This window comes from Homo sapiens, chromosome 11 (genome assembly GCF_000001405.40).
Source record: "Homo sapiens chromosome 11, GRCh38.p14 Primary Assembly".
NCBI classification, from domain to species: Eukaryota; Metazoa; Chordata; class Mammalia; order Primates; family Hominidae; genus Homo; species Homo sapiens.
The window spans coordinates 73,492,145-73,507,324 of record NC_000011.10 but is presented as its reverse complement, the minus strand read 5'-3'; the positions used below and the strand labels follow the sequence as shown (position 1 = coordinate 73,507,324).

The following is a 15,180-nucleotide window of genomic DNA, read 5'->3' as shown; positions in this document are numbered from 1 at the left end:
TGTTTTTGGATGAGTCTTGGATGGATCATAAATAAATTATAAAATGGTCTTACTGGGGAGGCAAAGAAAAATAAGATGTTGGGTCTGTTCCCAAGGACCTAATGGTTGGTTGTAAGAAAAAGATATGAACACAATTACACGTGCTCCCACCATATAGTTCGTGGGGAAAAAACAAAAGTCTCTAACTGAGTAGTTCAGACTATAAGTGATTTAGCCAGGAAATATCAGTGTGAGCTATGTTTTAATAGGGAGGATTTTGTTGTGTGTGTGTTTTCTTTTCAAGGGTCGTTAAGTATAATATATGATAATAAAAGATTTGCAACACTCTTAAGTGTGATTTTTTAAAAACCTACAGAATCTTAGAGTCAAGTTTTTTTATTTGTTTGTTTTAGTAGGAACTTAACTCTGAAATGATTATATATGTGAGTGGGGAAAGCAATATATGTGAATGAAGCTTTTTATGAATTTGTCATTTAGCATATCTGTGTTTTCAATGCCTGATTTACTATTAGTACTTAATGTTTATTGAATCAGTGAATTTTGGGTCTGAGTCTGAAGGTGCAGAATACTGTTTCATTATTATGTATGTGATATATAGTATATTAAATGTGTTATACATTATCATATTAACATAGTATGCTATAGAGGGTTAAAGATGGAGGACCTTTAAAGAATATCTTGTCTATTCTCTGCTTCTAATGGATGGGGGAACTGAGGCCCAGAAGTTGAAGTGACTTTTCTAGTAAGTTGTAGAGGAGGACCAGAATCTACTGCTCCTGGAAGCACTAATGATTTCCTGTAATAGATTTCTAATATTTTCACAGGGATTTCATGAGCACAGGCAAAACATACAGAGAAAATATTGTTGAAAGTATTTTGAATCACTGCCTTCTTTAAAGCTAAGGTGAGATATGGAGGGTTTTTTTTTTTCTCCTTATTTCACATAAGTACCATGTGCTAACTGATTGCGCCACTGGAGCTCCTTTCTTCTTATTTCTATAGATCTTGTATACCAAGGTTAGATTAGATCAGATTCAGTAGGTTGAACCTCACTTTTGATCCAAGTTTCTTCACAGCCCACATCTAGCAGAGCTTTTCCCCTCAAAGGCCTGGTTAGAAGAAGTGGCCTTTGTTTCTGATGTATAATTTACCTCTTCTTCTTGGTATTTGAGGCTTGTTGGTTTTGATAAATGCCTGTTTTCTGTGCCCTGCCTGCAGTTAACATGGAGGTCCTGGTGTGGAACTTCTTAGGAAGTGGTGGGTGAGAGAGAGTGCGTGTGAGAGTGGGCAAGTGGGTTAACAGCCTATGCCTTTAACTTATTTGGTTAATCCATTAACCTAGAGAGCTTGTATAGTCATATTGAATTTATAAATCTCAGTTCCAATAGCAGAAGCTGATGTGAAAAGGGTCCTTTGATCTTGATTTGGTCCAGAAAAGAATGGAAGTCAGTGTCTCAAGGGAGAAGGGATTGGAATCAGGTGGTCCTGAATTCAACTCCAGGTCAGTCATTTATCAGCCATGTAACAGTTTCCTTAGTCTGAGACTCAGTTCTCCCATCTATAAAATGGTGAAGTACACCAAGTACTTCACAAAGGGGTTACGTTCTTCTCCACATACCTGCTGGCTTGTTCTCTTTCCTCCTTTAGGTCTTTTCTTAGGTAGCACCTTCTCAGTGAGACTTTCCTTGACTGTCCTCTTAAAAATTGTAACTTCTGTCCTGGTACTCTCTTCCCTTTGCCCTTCTTTTATTTTTCTCCTATATCACTAATAGTCCTTACTTTTTGCTATTTGCTAATTGTGTTCCTCTCCATTCATAATAATAACAACAAAATAAAATGATAATGATAATAGCTAGTTTTTATATGTTGGGCATTGTTCTAAACACTTTACATATGTTAGCTCTTATTTAATCCTCATAAAAACCCTGTTAGATAGTACTATTATTATGGTCATTTTACAGGTGAGAAACTGAGTTATAGAGAAGTTTAGTGATTTTCAAAGAACACAAGAAGGTTAGCAGTGGAGCCAGAATCTGAACCTGAGCTCTCTGTCTCCAAAGTCCTTGCTCTTTTTTTTTTTTTTCCTTTTTGCAAAACTCCATGACTTTTAATTTTCACTTTTGAACTAATCAGAATGTTATTGGCAAAATGGCCATATTATGTGTATGCATAATATTTCTTTTTAAAAGATTTCTTCTAAAAAAAAAATGGGATACATGTGCAGAACGTGCAGGTTTGTTACATAGGTATACGTGTGCCATGGTGGTTTGCTGTACCTAGTGACCCGTACTCTTAGTTCCCTTCCCTCACCCCTCACCCTGCAACAGGCCCTGGTGTGTGTTGTTCCCCTCTCTGTGTCCATGTGTTCTCAGTGTTCCGCTCCCACTTATGAGTGAGAACATGCAGTGTTTGGTTTTCTGTTCCTGTGTTAGTTTGCTGAGGATGATGTCTCCCAGGTTCATCCATGTCTCTGCAAAGGAAATGATCTCATTTCTTTTTATGGCTGCGTAGTATTCCATGGTATGTATGTACCACATTTTCTTTATCCAGTCTATCATTGATGGCATTTAGATTGGTTCCATGTCTTTGCTATTGTAACAGTAGTGCTGCAGTAAACATATATGTGCATGTGTCTTTATAGTAGAATGATTTATATTCCTTTGGGTATATACCCAGTAATGGGATTACTGGGTCAAATGGTATTTCTGGTTCTAGATCCTTGAAGAATCACCATACTGTCTTCTACGATGGTTGAACTAATTTACATTCCCACCAACAGTGTAAAAGCGTTCTTATTTCTCCACAGCCTCGCCAGCATCTGTTGTTTCCTGACTTTTTAATAACTGCCATTCTGACTGGCATGAGGTGGTATCTCATTGTGGTTTTCATTTGCATTTCTCTGATGATCAGTGATGTTGAGCTTTTTTTCATGTTTGTTGGCCACGTAAATGTCTTCTTTTGAGAAGCATCTGTTCATATCCTTTGCCCACTTTTTGATGGAGTTGCTTGTTTTTTTCTTGTAAATACGTTTAAGTTCCTTGTAAATTCTGGCTATTAGACCTTTATCAGATCGGTAGATTGCAAAACTTTTCTCCCATTCTGTAGGTTGCTTGTTCACTTCGATGATAGTTTCTTTTGCTGTGCAGAAGCTCTTTAGTTTAATTAGATCCCATTTGTCAATTTTGGCTTTTGTTGCAATTGCTTTTGCCATTTTTGTCATGAAGTCTTTGCCCATGCCTATGTCCTGAATGGTATTGCCTAGGTTTTCTTCTAGGGTTTTTATTATTTTGGGTTTTACATTTAAGTCTTTAATCCGTCTTGAGTTAATTTTTGTATGAGATGTAAGGAAGAGGTCCAGTTTCAGTTTTCTGCATATGGCCAGCCAGTTTTCCCGGCACCATTTACTGAATAGGAGATCCTTTCCCCAGTGCTTGTTTTTGTTAACTTTGTTGAAGATCAGATGTTTGTAGATGTGTGGTGTTATTTCTGAGGTCTCTGTTCTGCTCCATTGGTCTCTATGTTTTGGTAGCAGTACCATGCTGTTTTGGTTACTGTAGCCTTGTAGTATAGTTTGAAGCCTTGTAGTATAGTAGCATGATGCCTCCAGCTTTGTTCTTTTTGCTTAGGATTGTCTTGGCTATCCAGGGTCTTCTTTGATTCCATATGAAATTTAAAATAGTTTTTTTCTAATTCTGTGAAGAATGTCAGTGAATTGTTTGGGAATAGCATTGAATCTATAAATTATTTTGACAGTGTGGCCATTTTCATTATATTGATTCTTCCTATCCATGAGCATGGAATGTTTTTCCATTTGTTTGTGTCCTCTCTTATTTCCTTGAGCAGTGGTTTGTAGCTATCCTTGAAGAGGTCCTTTACATCCCTTGTTAGCTGTATTCCTAGGTATTTTATTCTCTTTGTAGTGATTGTGAATGGGAGTTAATTCATGATTTGGCTTTCTGCTTGCCTATTGTTGGTGTAAAGGAATGCTTGTGATTTTTGCACATTGATTTTATATCCTGAGACTTTGCTGAAGTTGCTTATCAGTTCAAGAAGTTTTTGGGCTGAGATGATGGGGTTTTCTAAATATAAAATCATGTTGTCTTCAAACAGAGACAACTTGACTTCCTCTCTTCCTATTTGAATATGCTTTATTTCTTTATCTTGTCTGATTGCCCTGGCCAGAACTTCCAATACTATGTTGAATAGGAGTGGTGAGAGAGGGCATCCTTGTCCTGTACTGGTTTTTAAAGGGAATGCTTCCAGCTTTTGCCTGTTGAGTATGATATTGGCTGTGGGTTTGTCATAAATAGTTCTTATTATTTTGAGATATGTTCCATCAATACCTAGTTTACTGAGAGTTTTTAACATGAAGCCATGTTGAATTTTATCAAAGGCCTTTTCTGCATCTATTGAGATAATCATGTGGTTTTTGTCTTTGGATCTGTTTATGTGATGGATTATGTTTGTTGATTTGCATATGTTGAACCAGCCTTGCATCCCAGGGATGAAACCGACTTGATCGTGGTGGATAAGTTTTGTGATGTGCTGCTGGATTCAGTTTGCCAGTATTTTATTGAAGATTTTTGCATTGATGTTCATCAGGGATATTTGGCCTGAAGTTTTCTTTTTTTTGTTGTGTCTCTTCCCAGTTTTGGTATCAGGATGATGATGGCTTCATAAAATGAGGCCTCATAAAATGAGTCCCTCCTTTTCAGTTGTTTAGAATAGTTTCAGGAGGAACAGTACCAGCTCCTCTTTGTACTTCTGGTAGAATTCGGCTGTAAATCCGTGTGGTCCTGGACTTTTTTTGGTTGATAGGCTATTAATTACTGCCTCAATTTCAGACTTCTTATCAGTCTATTCAGGGATCTGAGTTCTTCCTGGTTTAGTCTTGGGAGGGTATATGTGTCCAGGAATTTATCCATTTCTTCTAGATTTTCTAGTTTATTTGTGTAGAGGTGTTTATAGTACTCTCTGATGGTAGTTTGTATTTCTGTGGGATCAGTGGTGATATCCCCTTTGTCATTTTTTATTTTGTCTATTTGATTCTTCTCTCTTCATTAGTCTAGCTAGCAGTCTATCTATTTTGTTAATTTTTTCAGAAAACCAGCTCCTGGATTTGTTGATTTTTTTTTTGAGGGTTTTTTGTGTCTCTAGCTCCTGCAGTTCTTCTCTGATCTTAGTTATTTCTTGTCTTCTGCTAGCCTTTTTTTTTTTTTTTTTCGAGACAAAGCTTTGATCTGTCGCCCAAGCTGGAGTGCAGTGGTGCAATCTCAGCTCACTGCAAGCTCCGCCTCCGGGGTTCATGCCGTTCTCCTGCCTCAGCCTCCTGAGTAGCTGGGACTACAGGCGCCCGCCACCACACCTGGCTAATTTTTTGTACTTTTAATAGAGGCGGGGTTTCACCGTGTTAGCCAGGATGGTCTTGATCTCCTGACCTTGTGATCTGCCCGCCTTGGCCTCCCAAAGTGCTGGGATTACAGGCTTGAGCCACCGCGCCCGGCCTTCTGCTAGCTTTTGGATTAGTTTGCTGTTGCCTCTCTAGCTCTTTTAATTGTGATGTTAGGGTGTCGATTTGAGATCTTTCTAGCTTTCTGATGTGGGCATTTAGTGCTGTAAATTTCCCTCTTAATACTGCTTTAGCTATGTCCCAGAGATTCTGGTACGTTGTCTCTTTGTTCTCATTGGTTTCAAAGAACTTCTTGATTCTGCCTTAATTTCATTATTTACCCAGGAGTCATTCAGGAGCAGGTTGTTCAATTTCCATGAAATTGTGTGGTTTTGAGCGAGTTTCTTAATCCTAAGTTCTATTTGATTGTATTGTGGTCTGAGAGACTGTTTGTTATGATTTCAGTTCTTTTGCTTTTGCTGAGAAGTGTTTTGCTTCCAATTAGTGGTTGATTTTAGAATAAGTGCCATGTGGCACTGAGAGGAATGTATATTCTGTTGATTTAGGGTAGAGTTCTGTAGACGTCTACCAGGTCCACTTGATCCAGAGCTAAGTTCAAGTCCCGAATATCCTTGTTAATTTTCTGTCTCATTGATCTGTCTGATACTGACAGTGGGGTGTTAAAGTCTCCCACTATTATTGTGTGGTAGTCTAAGTATCTTTGTAGGTCTCTAAGAACTTGTTTTATGAATTTGGGTGCTCCTGTATTGGATGCATATATATTCAGAATAGTTAGCACTTCCTGTTGAATTGTTCCCTTTGCCATTATGTAATGCCCTTTTTTGTCTTTTTTGATCTTTGTTGGTTTAAAGCCTGTTTTGTCAGAGACTAGGATTGCAACCCCTGCTTTTTTTTTTTTTGCTTTCCATTTGCTTGGTAAATTTTCTTCCATCCCTTTATTTTGAGGCTGTGTGTGTCTTTGCACATAAGATGGGTCTCCTGAATACAGCACACCAATGGGTCTTGACTCCTTACCCAATTGGCCAGTCTGTGTCTTTTAATTGGGGCATTTAGCCCATTTACATTTAAGGTTAATATTGTTATGTGTGAATTTGATCCTGTCATCATGATGCTGTTTGGTTATTTTGCATACTAGTTGATGCAGTTTCTTCATAGTGTCATTTGTCTTTATATTTTGGTGTGTTTTTACAGTGGCTGGTACTGGTTTTTCCTTTCCATATTTAGTGCTTCTTTCAGCAGCTCTTGCAGGGCAGGCCTGGTGGTAATGAAATCCCTCAGCATTTGCTTGTCTGGAAAGGATTTTATTTCTCCTTAGCTTATGAAGCTTAGTTTGGCTGGATATGAAATTCTGGGTTGAGGCTGGGTGCAGTGGCTCATGCCTGTAATCCCAGCACTTTGGGAGGCCAAGGTGGGTGGATCATGTGGTCAGGAGTTCGAGACCAGCCTGGATAACATGGTGAAACCCTGTCTTCTACTAAAAATACAAAAATTAGCTGGGCATGCTGGTAGGCACCTGTAGTCCCAGTTACTTGGGAGGCTGAGGCAGGAGAATCCCTTGAACCCTGGAGGCAGAGGTTGCAGTGAGCTGGGATCATGCCACTGTACTCTAGCCTGGGTGACAGAGCAAGACTCTGTCTCAAAAAAAAAAAAAAAAAAAAGGAATTCTGGGTTGTAAACTCTTGTCTTTAAGAATGTTGAATATTGGCCCCCAATCTCTTCTGGCTTGAAGAGTTTCTGCTGAGAGGTCCACTGTTAGACTGATGGGCTTCCCTTTGTAGGTGACCTGGCCTTTCTCTCTGGCTGCCCTAACAGTTTTTCCTTCATTGTGACCTTGGAGAATCTGATGATGATGTGTCTTGGGGTTGATCTTCTTGTGGAATATCTTAATGGTGTTCTCTGTATTTCCTGAATTTGCATGTTGGCCTCTCTTGCTAGTTTGGGGAAGTTCTCCTGGATAATATCCTGGAGTGTGTTTTCCAGCTTGTTTCCATTCTCTCCATCTCCTGGTACTCCAGTCAACCGTAGGTTTGGTCTTTTTATGAAGTCCCATATTTGTTGGAGGCTTTGTTCTTTCCTTTTCATTCTTTTTTCTCTATTTTTGTCTGCATGTCTTATTTCAGTAAAGTGGTCTTCAAACTCTGATAACCTTTCTTCCGCTTGGCTGATTCGGCTGTTGATACTTGGGTGTGCCTCATGAAGTTCTTGTGCTGTGTTTTTCAGCTCCATCAGGTGGTTTATGTTCCTCTCTAAACTGGTTATCCTAGTTAGCAATTCTTCCAACCTTTTATCAAGGTTCTTAGCTTCTTTGCATTGGGTTAGAACATGTTCCTTTTGATCATCATAGTTTTTTATTACCCATCTTCTGAAGCCTACTTCTCTCAATTCGTCCATCTGATCCTCTGTCCAGTCCTGTGCCCTTGATGGAGAGACGTTGCAATCATTTGGAGGAGAAGAGGCACTCTGGTCTTTTGGGTTTTCAGCATTTTTTCATTGATTTCTTCTCATCTTTGTGAGTTTGTCTAGTTCAGTCTTTGAGGCTGCTGACTCTTGGATGGGGTTTTTGTGGGAGCCTTTTTTTGTTGTCGTTGATGCTGTTGTTGTTGCTTTCTGCTTGTTTGTTTTTCTTTCAATAATCAGGTCCCTCTTCTGTAGGTAGGGCTGCTGCAGTTTGCCGGGGGTTCACTTCAGGTCTTGTTCATCTGATTCACTCCCATGCCTGGAGATGTCACTGAAGGAGGCTGGAAGAGCAGCCAAGATGGGTTCCTGCTCCTTCTTCTGGGACCTCTGACCTTGAGGGGCACCAGCCTGATGCCAGTAGGATTGCTCCTGTATAGGGTGTTTGACAACCCTGTCGAAGGGTCTTGGGTGGCACGGGGAGCAGCACCTGTTTAATGAAGCACTTTGTCCCTTGGTGGAGAGGGTGTGTTCCGCTGGGGGGATACCCACTCATCTGGGCTGCCCAGATTCCTCAGAACTACCAGGAGAGGCTAAGCCTGCTGGTCCAAAGAAACTATGGCTACCCGTCCCCGCTAGGGGCTCAGGTCCAGGGAGATCCAAATTCCATCCCTGAGCCTCTGGCTGGAGTTATTGGAGATCCTGCAGGGAAGCCCCTCTCACTGAAGAAGGATGGGTCAGGGTTAGACCTGAACTGGCACTCTGCCCACAGACTGCCACAGCCTGTGTGTTGGGCTGTGGGACAAGTCTTGGGACCAAGCCATTCAGCCTCCCGGGCTCCAGCAGGGGAAAAACACAGCCTGGAGCTATAGAAATGGGTGCTGCCCTTACCCTGCCCAGGGAGCTTAGCATGTCAGGCAGTTGCGAGTTCCAATGCTGGTTGCTGCCCCTCCCCAAGGAGCTCAAACGGCTTAGACAGTGGGCCACTGCAACCCAGTGCTGGTCGCCCCTCCCCCAGGGAGTTCAGTAGGCTTAAGCAGATTCCAGCTAAGAGGCTGTAAGAATCTGTGTGTCCCAGTGGCATGGGTTTGCTAGTGGGATCTTCTGATCCGTGGGTTGCAAAGTTGAGTGGAAAAAGCACACTCTCCCTGGCTGGGTAGCGTGCTCATTCACTGCCTCCCTTGGCTGGGGGGAAGGGGGGGTCCCCTTCCCTGTGCAGCTCTTGAGTGGGCTGCTGTACCGCACTGCTCTTCCTTTTCTCCATGGGTCACGCCAGCCTTCTAGTCAATTTTGATGAGAGAACCTAGATCCTTGGTGGCCGGCGAAGGATTCACATACTTATTATGTTTTTTTTCGATGGGAGCCTCCAAACGCCACTGCTTCTAGTTGGCCATCTTGGCCCCCAGAGTCACTGCTCTTAGCTGCTGTACTAGTCGGCCTCATTAGAGCATAAGCTTTTTGAGGGCAGGGGTGTTTGTTTTGTTCATGGCTATTTCACCAGTATCTAGAGTAGTGCCTGGCATGTAGTAAGCAATAAACATTTGTTAAATGAATGAATGCATATCAATAATATGTGAGAAAAAAATTAAATGGAGTTGTTTTGAGTTTTATTTATTTTTATTATGCTTTAAGTTCTAGGGTACATGTGCCTAACGTGCAGGTTTGTTACATATGTATACATGTGCCATGTTGGTTTGCTGTACCCATTAACTTGTCATTTACATTAGGTATTTCTCCTAATGCTATCCCTTCCCCATCCCCCCACCCAACGACAGGCCCCAGTGTGTGATGTTCCCTGCTCTGTGTCCAAGTGTTCTCATTGTTCAGTTCCCACCTATGAGTGAGAACGTGTGGTGTTTGGTTTTCTGTTTTGAGTTTTAACCATGCCCTCTCTTTTTCTTCTAGAGACCTAGTTATTGCTCTAGTCCTGTGCTGTTCAATAGCCACATATCAAGTACTTAGTAGCTACATGTGGCTAATAGCTACTATATTGGACAGCACAGATATACTAGAATATTTCCATCATTATAGAAAGTTCAGCTGGACAGTATGTCTTTTTTTTTTTTGAGGGGGGGTATGGAGTCACTCTCTGTCGCCAGGCTGGAGTGCAGTGGTGCAACCTCCGCCTCCCAGGTTCAAGTGATTCTCCTGCCTCAGCCTCCCAAGTAGCTGAGACTACAGGCGCGCGCCACCACACCTGGCTAATTTTTGTATTTTTAGTAGAGACGGGGTTTCACCATGTTGGCCAGGATGGTCTGGATCTCCTGACCTCGTGATCTGCCTGTCTGGGCCTCCCAAAGTGCTGGGATTACAGGTATGAGCCACCGTGCCTGGCCGACAGTAGTTCCTCCTGGTACGCAGGCCAGAGGCCAAAACAGAGTGAGGCCTGAGGCAAGAGCAAGTGGTGAGAATGAAAGATAAAAAGGGATGGGATCACGCAGGGCTTTCGATGCAGAAATCAAATTTGGACTTTATTTTGAAGCGAGTGTTTTCTGAATTCGGCCATTTTTCAAAAATACGTGGGGAATTTGTGTAAAATTCTGATTCCCAGGTGTCCTGATTTAGTAGTTTTGGTGTTAGACCTAAAACTGTGTGTGTGTGTGCGTGTGTGTGCGTGTGTGTGTGTGTGTGTGTGTGTGTGTGTGTGATAAGAACATACAGGGCTGGGTGCAGTGGCTCACGCCTGTAATCCCAGCACTTTGGGAGGCCGAGGTGGGTGGATCACGAGGTCAGGAGATCAAGACCATCCTGGCTAACACGGTGAAACCCCGTCTCTACTAAAAATACAAAAAATTAGCCGGGCATGGTGGTGGGCGCCTGTAGTCCCAGCTACTCGGGAGGCTGAGGCAGGAGAATGGCGTGAACGCGGGAGGCGGAGCTTGCAGCAAGCCGAGATCGCGCCACTGCACTCCAGCCTGGGCGACAGAGTGAGACTCCGTCTCAAAAAACCAACCAACCAACCAAACAAACAAACAAAAAATAACATAAAATTTACCATCTTAACTATTTTTAAGTATACACTACAGTAGTGTTAACTATATGCACTTCATTGTGTGATAGATCTCTAGAACTTTTTCATCTTGCAAAACTGAAACTAAAGGTTGGTGCAAAGGTAATTGTAGTTTTCGCCATTGAAAGTATGGTCAAAGCCGCAATTACTTTTGCACCAACCTAATATATCCGTTGAACAACAACTTCCCTTTTCACCTTCCACCTTGGTAACCACCATTTTACTTTCTGTTTCTAAGAGTTTAACTTCTTTGGATACGTCATATAAGTGGAATCATGCAGTATTTGTCGTTTTGTGAGTAGCTTACTTTACTTAGCATAACGTCCTCAAGATTCATGCATATTGTAGTATACAGCAGGATTTTCTTTTTTAAGAGTGAGTAATATTCCATCATGCGTGTGTGGGTGCAGGTTGTGTGTATGCGGGTTGTGTGTATGCATGTGTGTATACAACATTTTCTTTATCCATTCATTCATCAGTGGACATTTAGGTTGCTTCCACTCTTTGGCTGTTGTCCATAGTATTGCAATGAACATGGGTGTGCAAATATCTCTTTGAGATCCTGTTTTAAATTCTTTTGAATGTATATGCAGAAGTGAAATTGCTGGATCATATGGTTATTATATTTTTAATTTTTTGAGGAACCTCTGTATTGTTTTCCATAGTGGCTACACCATTTTATATTACCACCAAATTTTAAATAAGGGTTCCAATTTCTCTACATCCTCATCAACATTTGCTATTTTCTGTTTTTTTGATAATAGTCATCTTAATGGGTGTGAGGTGGTATCTTGGTGTAGTTTTAAGTTGTGTTTCTCTGATAACTGATGATGTTGAACATACCTTCATACGCTTGTTGGTCATTTGTATATCTTTGGAGAAATGCCTGTTCAAGTTCTTTATCCATTTTTAAATTGTATTAGTTGTAAAACTCTATGTCTTAAATAGTACCCCTATCCATCTGATTCGCTCCCATGCCTGGAGATGTCACTCAAGGAGGCTGGAAGAGCACCCCAGTGATTTCAATGGAGATTGGTGGTGAGTGGGCCAGCAGTGGTGATGGAGTGGTGATGGAGATTGAGGAGGCTTGGTTGCTCAAACTGCATTGTTCTTGATTGGGTTATTCTTGACATCACACACTCTTCAGTTTGATTTTATTTATTTATTTATTTATTTAATTTTGAGACGGAGTCTCGCTCTGTCGCCCAGGCTGGAGTGCAGTGGCACGATCTCGGCTCACTGCAAGCTCTGCCTCCTGGGTTCACGCCATTCTCCTGCCTCAGCCTCCCGAGTAGCTGGGACTACAGGTGCCTGCCACCATGCCTGGCTAATTTTTTGTATTTTCAGCAGAGACGGGATCAGTTTGATTTTTTTTTTTTTTTTACGTCTATACCATTAAGCCTCAAATTAGACAGGCAATTCCCTGGGGAGTCTTTACTGAGTCCTGAAATTACCCTCTCTTCCATTTTCTGAGCCTTTAGCTTCTTTTTTTTCTTCTTTTTTTTTTGAGACAGTCTCACTCCATCACCCAGGCTGGAGTTCATTGGCATGATCTTGGCTCACTGCTGCAGCCTCTGCCTCCTGGGTTCAAGTGATTCTCATGCCTCAGCCTCCCAAGTAGTAGCTGGGATTACAGGCATGGGCCCCCACACCTGGCTAATTTTTGTATTTTTAGTAGAGATGGGGTTTCGCCATGTTGGCCAGGCTGGTCTTGAACTCCTGACTTCAAGTAATCCGCCCTCCTCGGCCTCCCAAAGTGCTGGATTACAGGCATGACCTAACTTCTTCTAAAAGTGTACTTCCTTTTCCATCAAGAGTGCTTTCCTGGCGTTGGTGCTGCTAGGAATCTACCTCTTCATTGTGCCCATCCTCCATTTTTTCCCCAATTTTTCTACGTCTTCATCACAATAAAACTCTTCCTGGCTCTTTGCCCAAGGCTGCAGCCTAAAATGTTCTGGGGCCTCTGCATCAAACAAGGGTGGTTCTGCCAGGTTTTTCTGAGCCCTTCTGTCCTGAGACAAAGGACTTGGCCTGGTATTCAGAGTGTCAACCGCTTGGAATGTAACAGTTCCTGATTCAGAGCCTTAGACCTCCCACTGCAATGGCTCAGTGTCTTTGAACTAACCAATAAGCACAGGAGATCTCTTGTCCTTTGAGTAGAAGAGCAGCCTCACTGCCACTCTTTTGGCTGGGACTCTAGGGGCCTGAGGTCCTGTTCTGGATTTGTGACCTGCTCTGTGACTTTGAGTGAGTCACTTAGTCTTTGTTTTCCCAGTTGCAAAATGAAGGGCTTAAATTAAATGATCTTTGAGGTCCTACCAAGCTCTAACACTCTTTGGTTCAATTCTGTTAATCATACATGTACATGTATATGTACATACTGTACATAATGTACATGTCCATACTGTACATAATGTACATGTCTTGGTGTTCTTGGCTCTTTATTAGCCAGTGGGGCACTCCATAGGTTAATAAAATAGACTCTGCTTTCAGAGCTCATAGTCCAGGAGGGAAGCAGTTGCATAAACAACTAAATCTTCTAACATGAAGTGTTTCTAGAATGGCACTGTCACCATGTATTTTTGGGATAGAGGATAGTGATTAGTTTTAGTTGGAAGGGTCTGTGAAGCTTCATGTAGGAGACAGCGTTTGAGTCTTTGGTCTTGTCTTCACCTCTGTTCTGTTGTTCTTTCCTCTCTCCATCTCCGTGTGAATTCCCAAACCTGGTCTTTTTTTAAACTCTGGGACAGTTTTCAGGATAAGTTATGTTCCTCCTTAAATAAAAATAAAACAAGGCTGCGCATGGTGGCTCATGCCTGTAATCCCAGTACTTTGGGAGGCAGAAGCAGGTGGATTGCTTGAGCCCAGGAGTTTGAGACCGCCTGGGCAACATGGTGAAACCCTGTCTCTACAAAACAAATACAAAAATTAGCCTAGCATGGTGGCACACGTCGGTAGACCCAGCTACTTAGGAGGCTGAGGCCTTGGGAGGATCACTTGAGCCCAGGAGGCAGAGGTTGCGGTGAGCTGAGATTGCACCACTGCTGTCCAGCTTGGGTGAGAGAGTGAGACCCAGTCTCAAAAACACAAAACAAAACAACCTTTAAAAAGACCCTAAAAACTAAAGATACATACACAGACACAGTGAGCCTTTCCTCCTTTCTCTGAACCCCTGCAATAACTGTATACGTATGGTCTACGGGCTACCTGTAAAGTTCGTTTAGCACTTGTTATCTTGCCTTTCTTTTATTATTTGGAACTATGAGTTCAAGCTACTTCTCTCATTTTGTCTGCCACCAGGACTTTTTTTTTCACTTTGTGATTTTTTTTTTCCTACTTTCATTTTAGGTTTGAGGGTACATGTTCAGGTTTGTTACATGGATACATTGCATGTTGCTGAAGTTTGGTGTATGAATGATCCTGTCACCCAGGTAGTGAGCGTAGTACCCAATAGGTAGTTTTTCAGTCCATCCTTCTCCACACTCTTGGTAGAGCCCAAGGTCTGTTGTTGCCATCTTTTTGTCCATGCTTACCCAATGTTTAGTTCCTGCTTATAAGTGAGAACATGTGGTATTTGATTTTCTGTTTCTGCATTCATTTGCAAGAATGAATAGAGGATAATGGCCTCCACCTGCATCCATGTTGGTGCAAAGGACAGGATTTTGTTCCTTTTTATGGCTGCATTGTGTTCCATTGCCACCAGGATTTTGAACTCTGAGTATTTGAGTCACATTTTTGCTATTAGACTATCTGCTTCTAAGGGCAAACCGTATCTTATTCTCTTATCATCTGTGCCACCTCTAAGTGATTTACATAATGAATAATCCAGAGCAGAGTATCATTAAATATGGTTTATTTTATTTTATTTTATTGAGACAGGTTTTGCTCTGTCACCAGGCTGGAGTGCAGAGGTGCGATCTCGGCTTACCGCAGCCTTGACCTCCAGGCTTAAGCAATCCTCCTGCCTCAGCCCCCCGTGTAGCTGGGACTACAGGTGCACGCCACCGTGCCCGGCTAATTTTTTTGAAATTTTTTTTGTAGAGATGGGGTTTCACCATGCTGGTCTTGAACTCCTGGATTCAAGGGATCCACTGCCTCAGCCTCCCAAAGTGCTGAGATTATAGGCATAAACCACCATGCCAGGCTGAGTTTGTTTATTTTAAACCAAGTCTTTTGCTCTGATATGAATGTCATATTTGCTTATTTTTTCAGGATGTGCTGGTTATGTTGTTAAGTGATTAATTTATAATGTGTGGCATTCTTTTTTGTCTATCTTGATCTTTCGTTCTTGCCTCAGCCATCTTCTTGGCTCTAAGAAATACGGTGAACCTTATGACATGATGGGAGGAACATTGGGCTTGGCGTG

General features: G+C 41.9%; 1 protein-coding gene across 4 annotated transcripts in view, besides 2 other annotated features; it reads left to right on the top strand.

Moving 5' to 3' along the window:
- The window catches only part of FAM168A (family with sequence similarity 168 member A), a 197,626-nt gene that overhangs the window by 90,788 nt on the left and 91,658 nt on the right, over positions 1–15,180 (top strand). The window lies entirely within an intron of this gene.
- Positions 11,979–12,496: an enhancer, noted in NCBI's record as "H3K27ac hESC enhancer chr11:73205874-73206391 (GRCh37/hg19 assembly coordinates)". NCBI's record gives its function as "activates a minimal SCP1, AML or CMV promoter by ChIP-STARR-seq in naive H9 embryonic stem cells {active_cell/tissue: H9 hESC(naive)}" and the evidence as "EXISTENCE:reporter gene assay evidence [ECO:0000049][PMID:30033119]".
- Positions 12,497–13,015: an enhancer, noted in NCBI's record as "NANOG-H3K27ac hESC enhancer chr11:73205355-73205873 (GRCh37/hg19 assembly coordinates)". NCBI's record gives its function as "activates a minimal SCP1, AML or CMV promoter by ChIP-STARR-seq in naive H9 embryonic stem cells {active_cell/tissue: H9 hESC(naive)}" and the evidence as "EXISTENCE:reporter gene assay evidence [ECO:0000049][PMID:30033119]".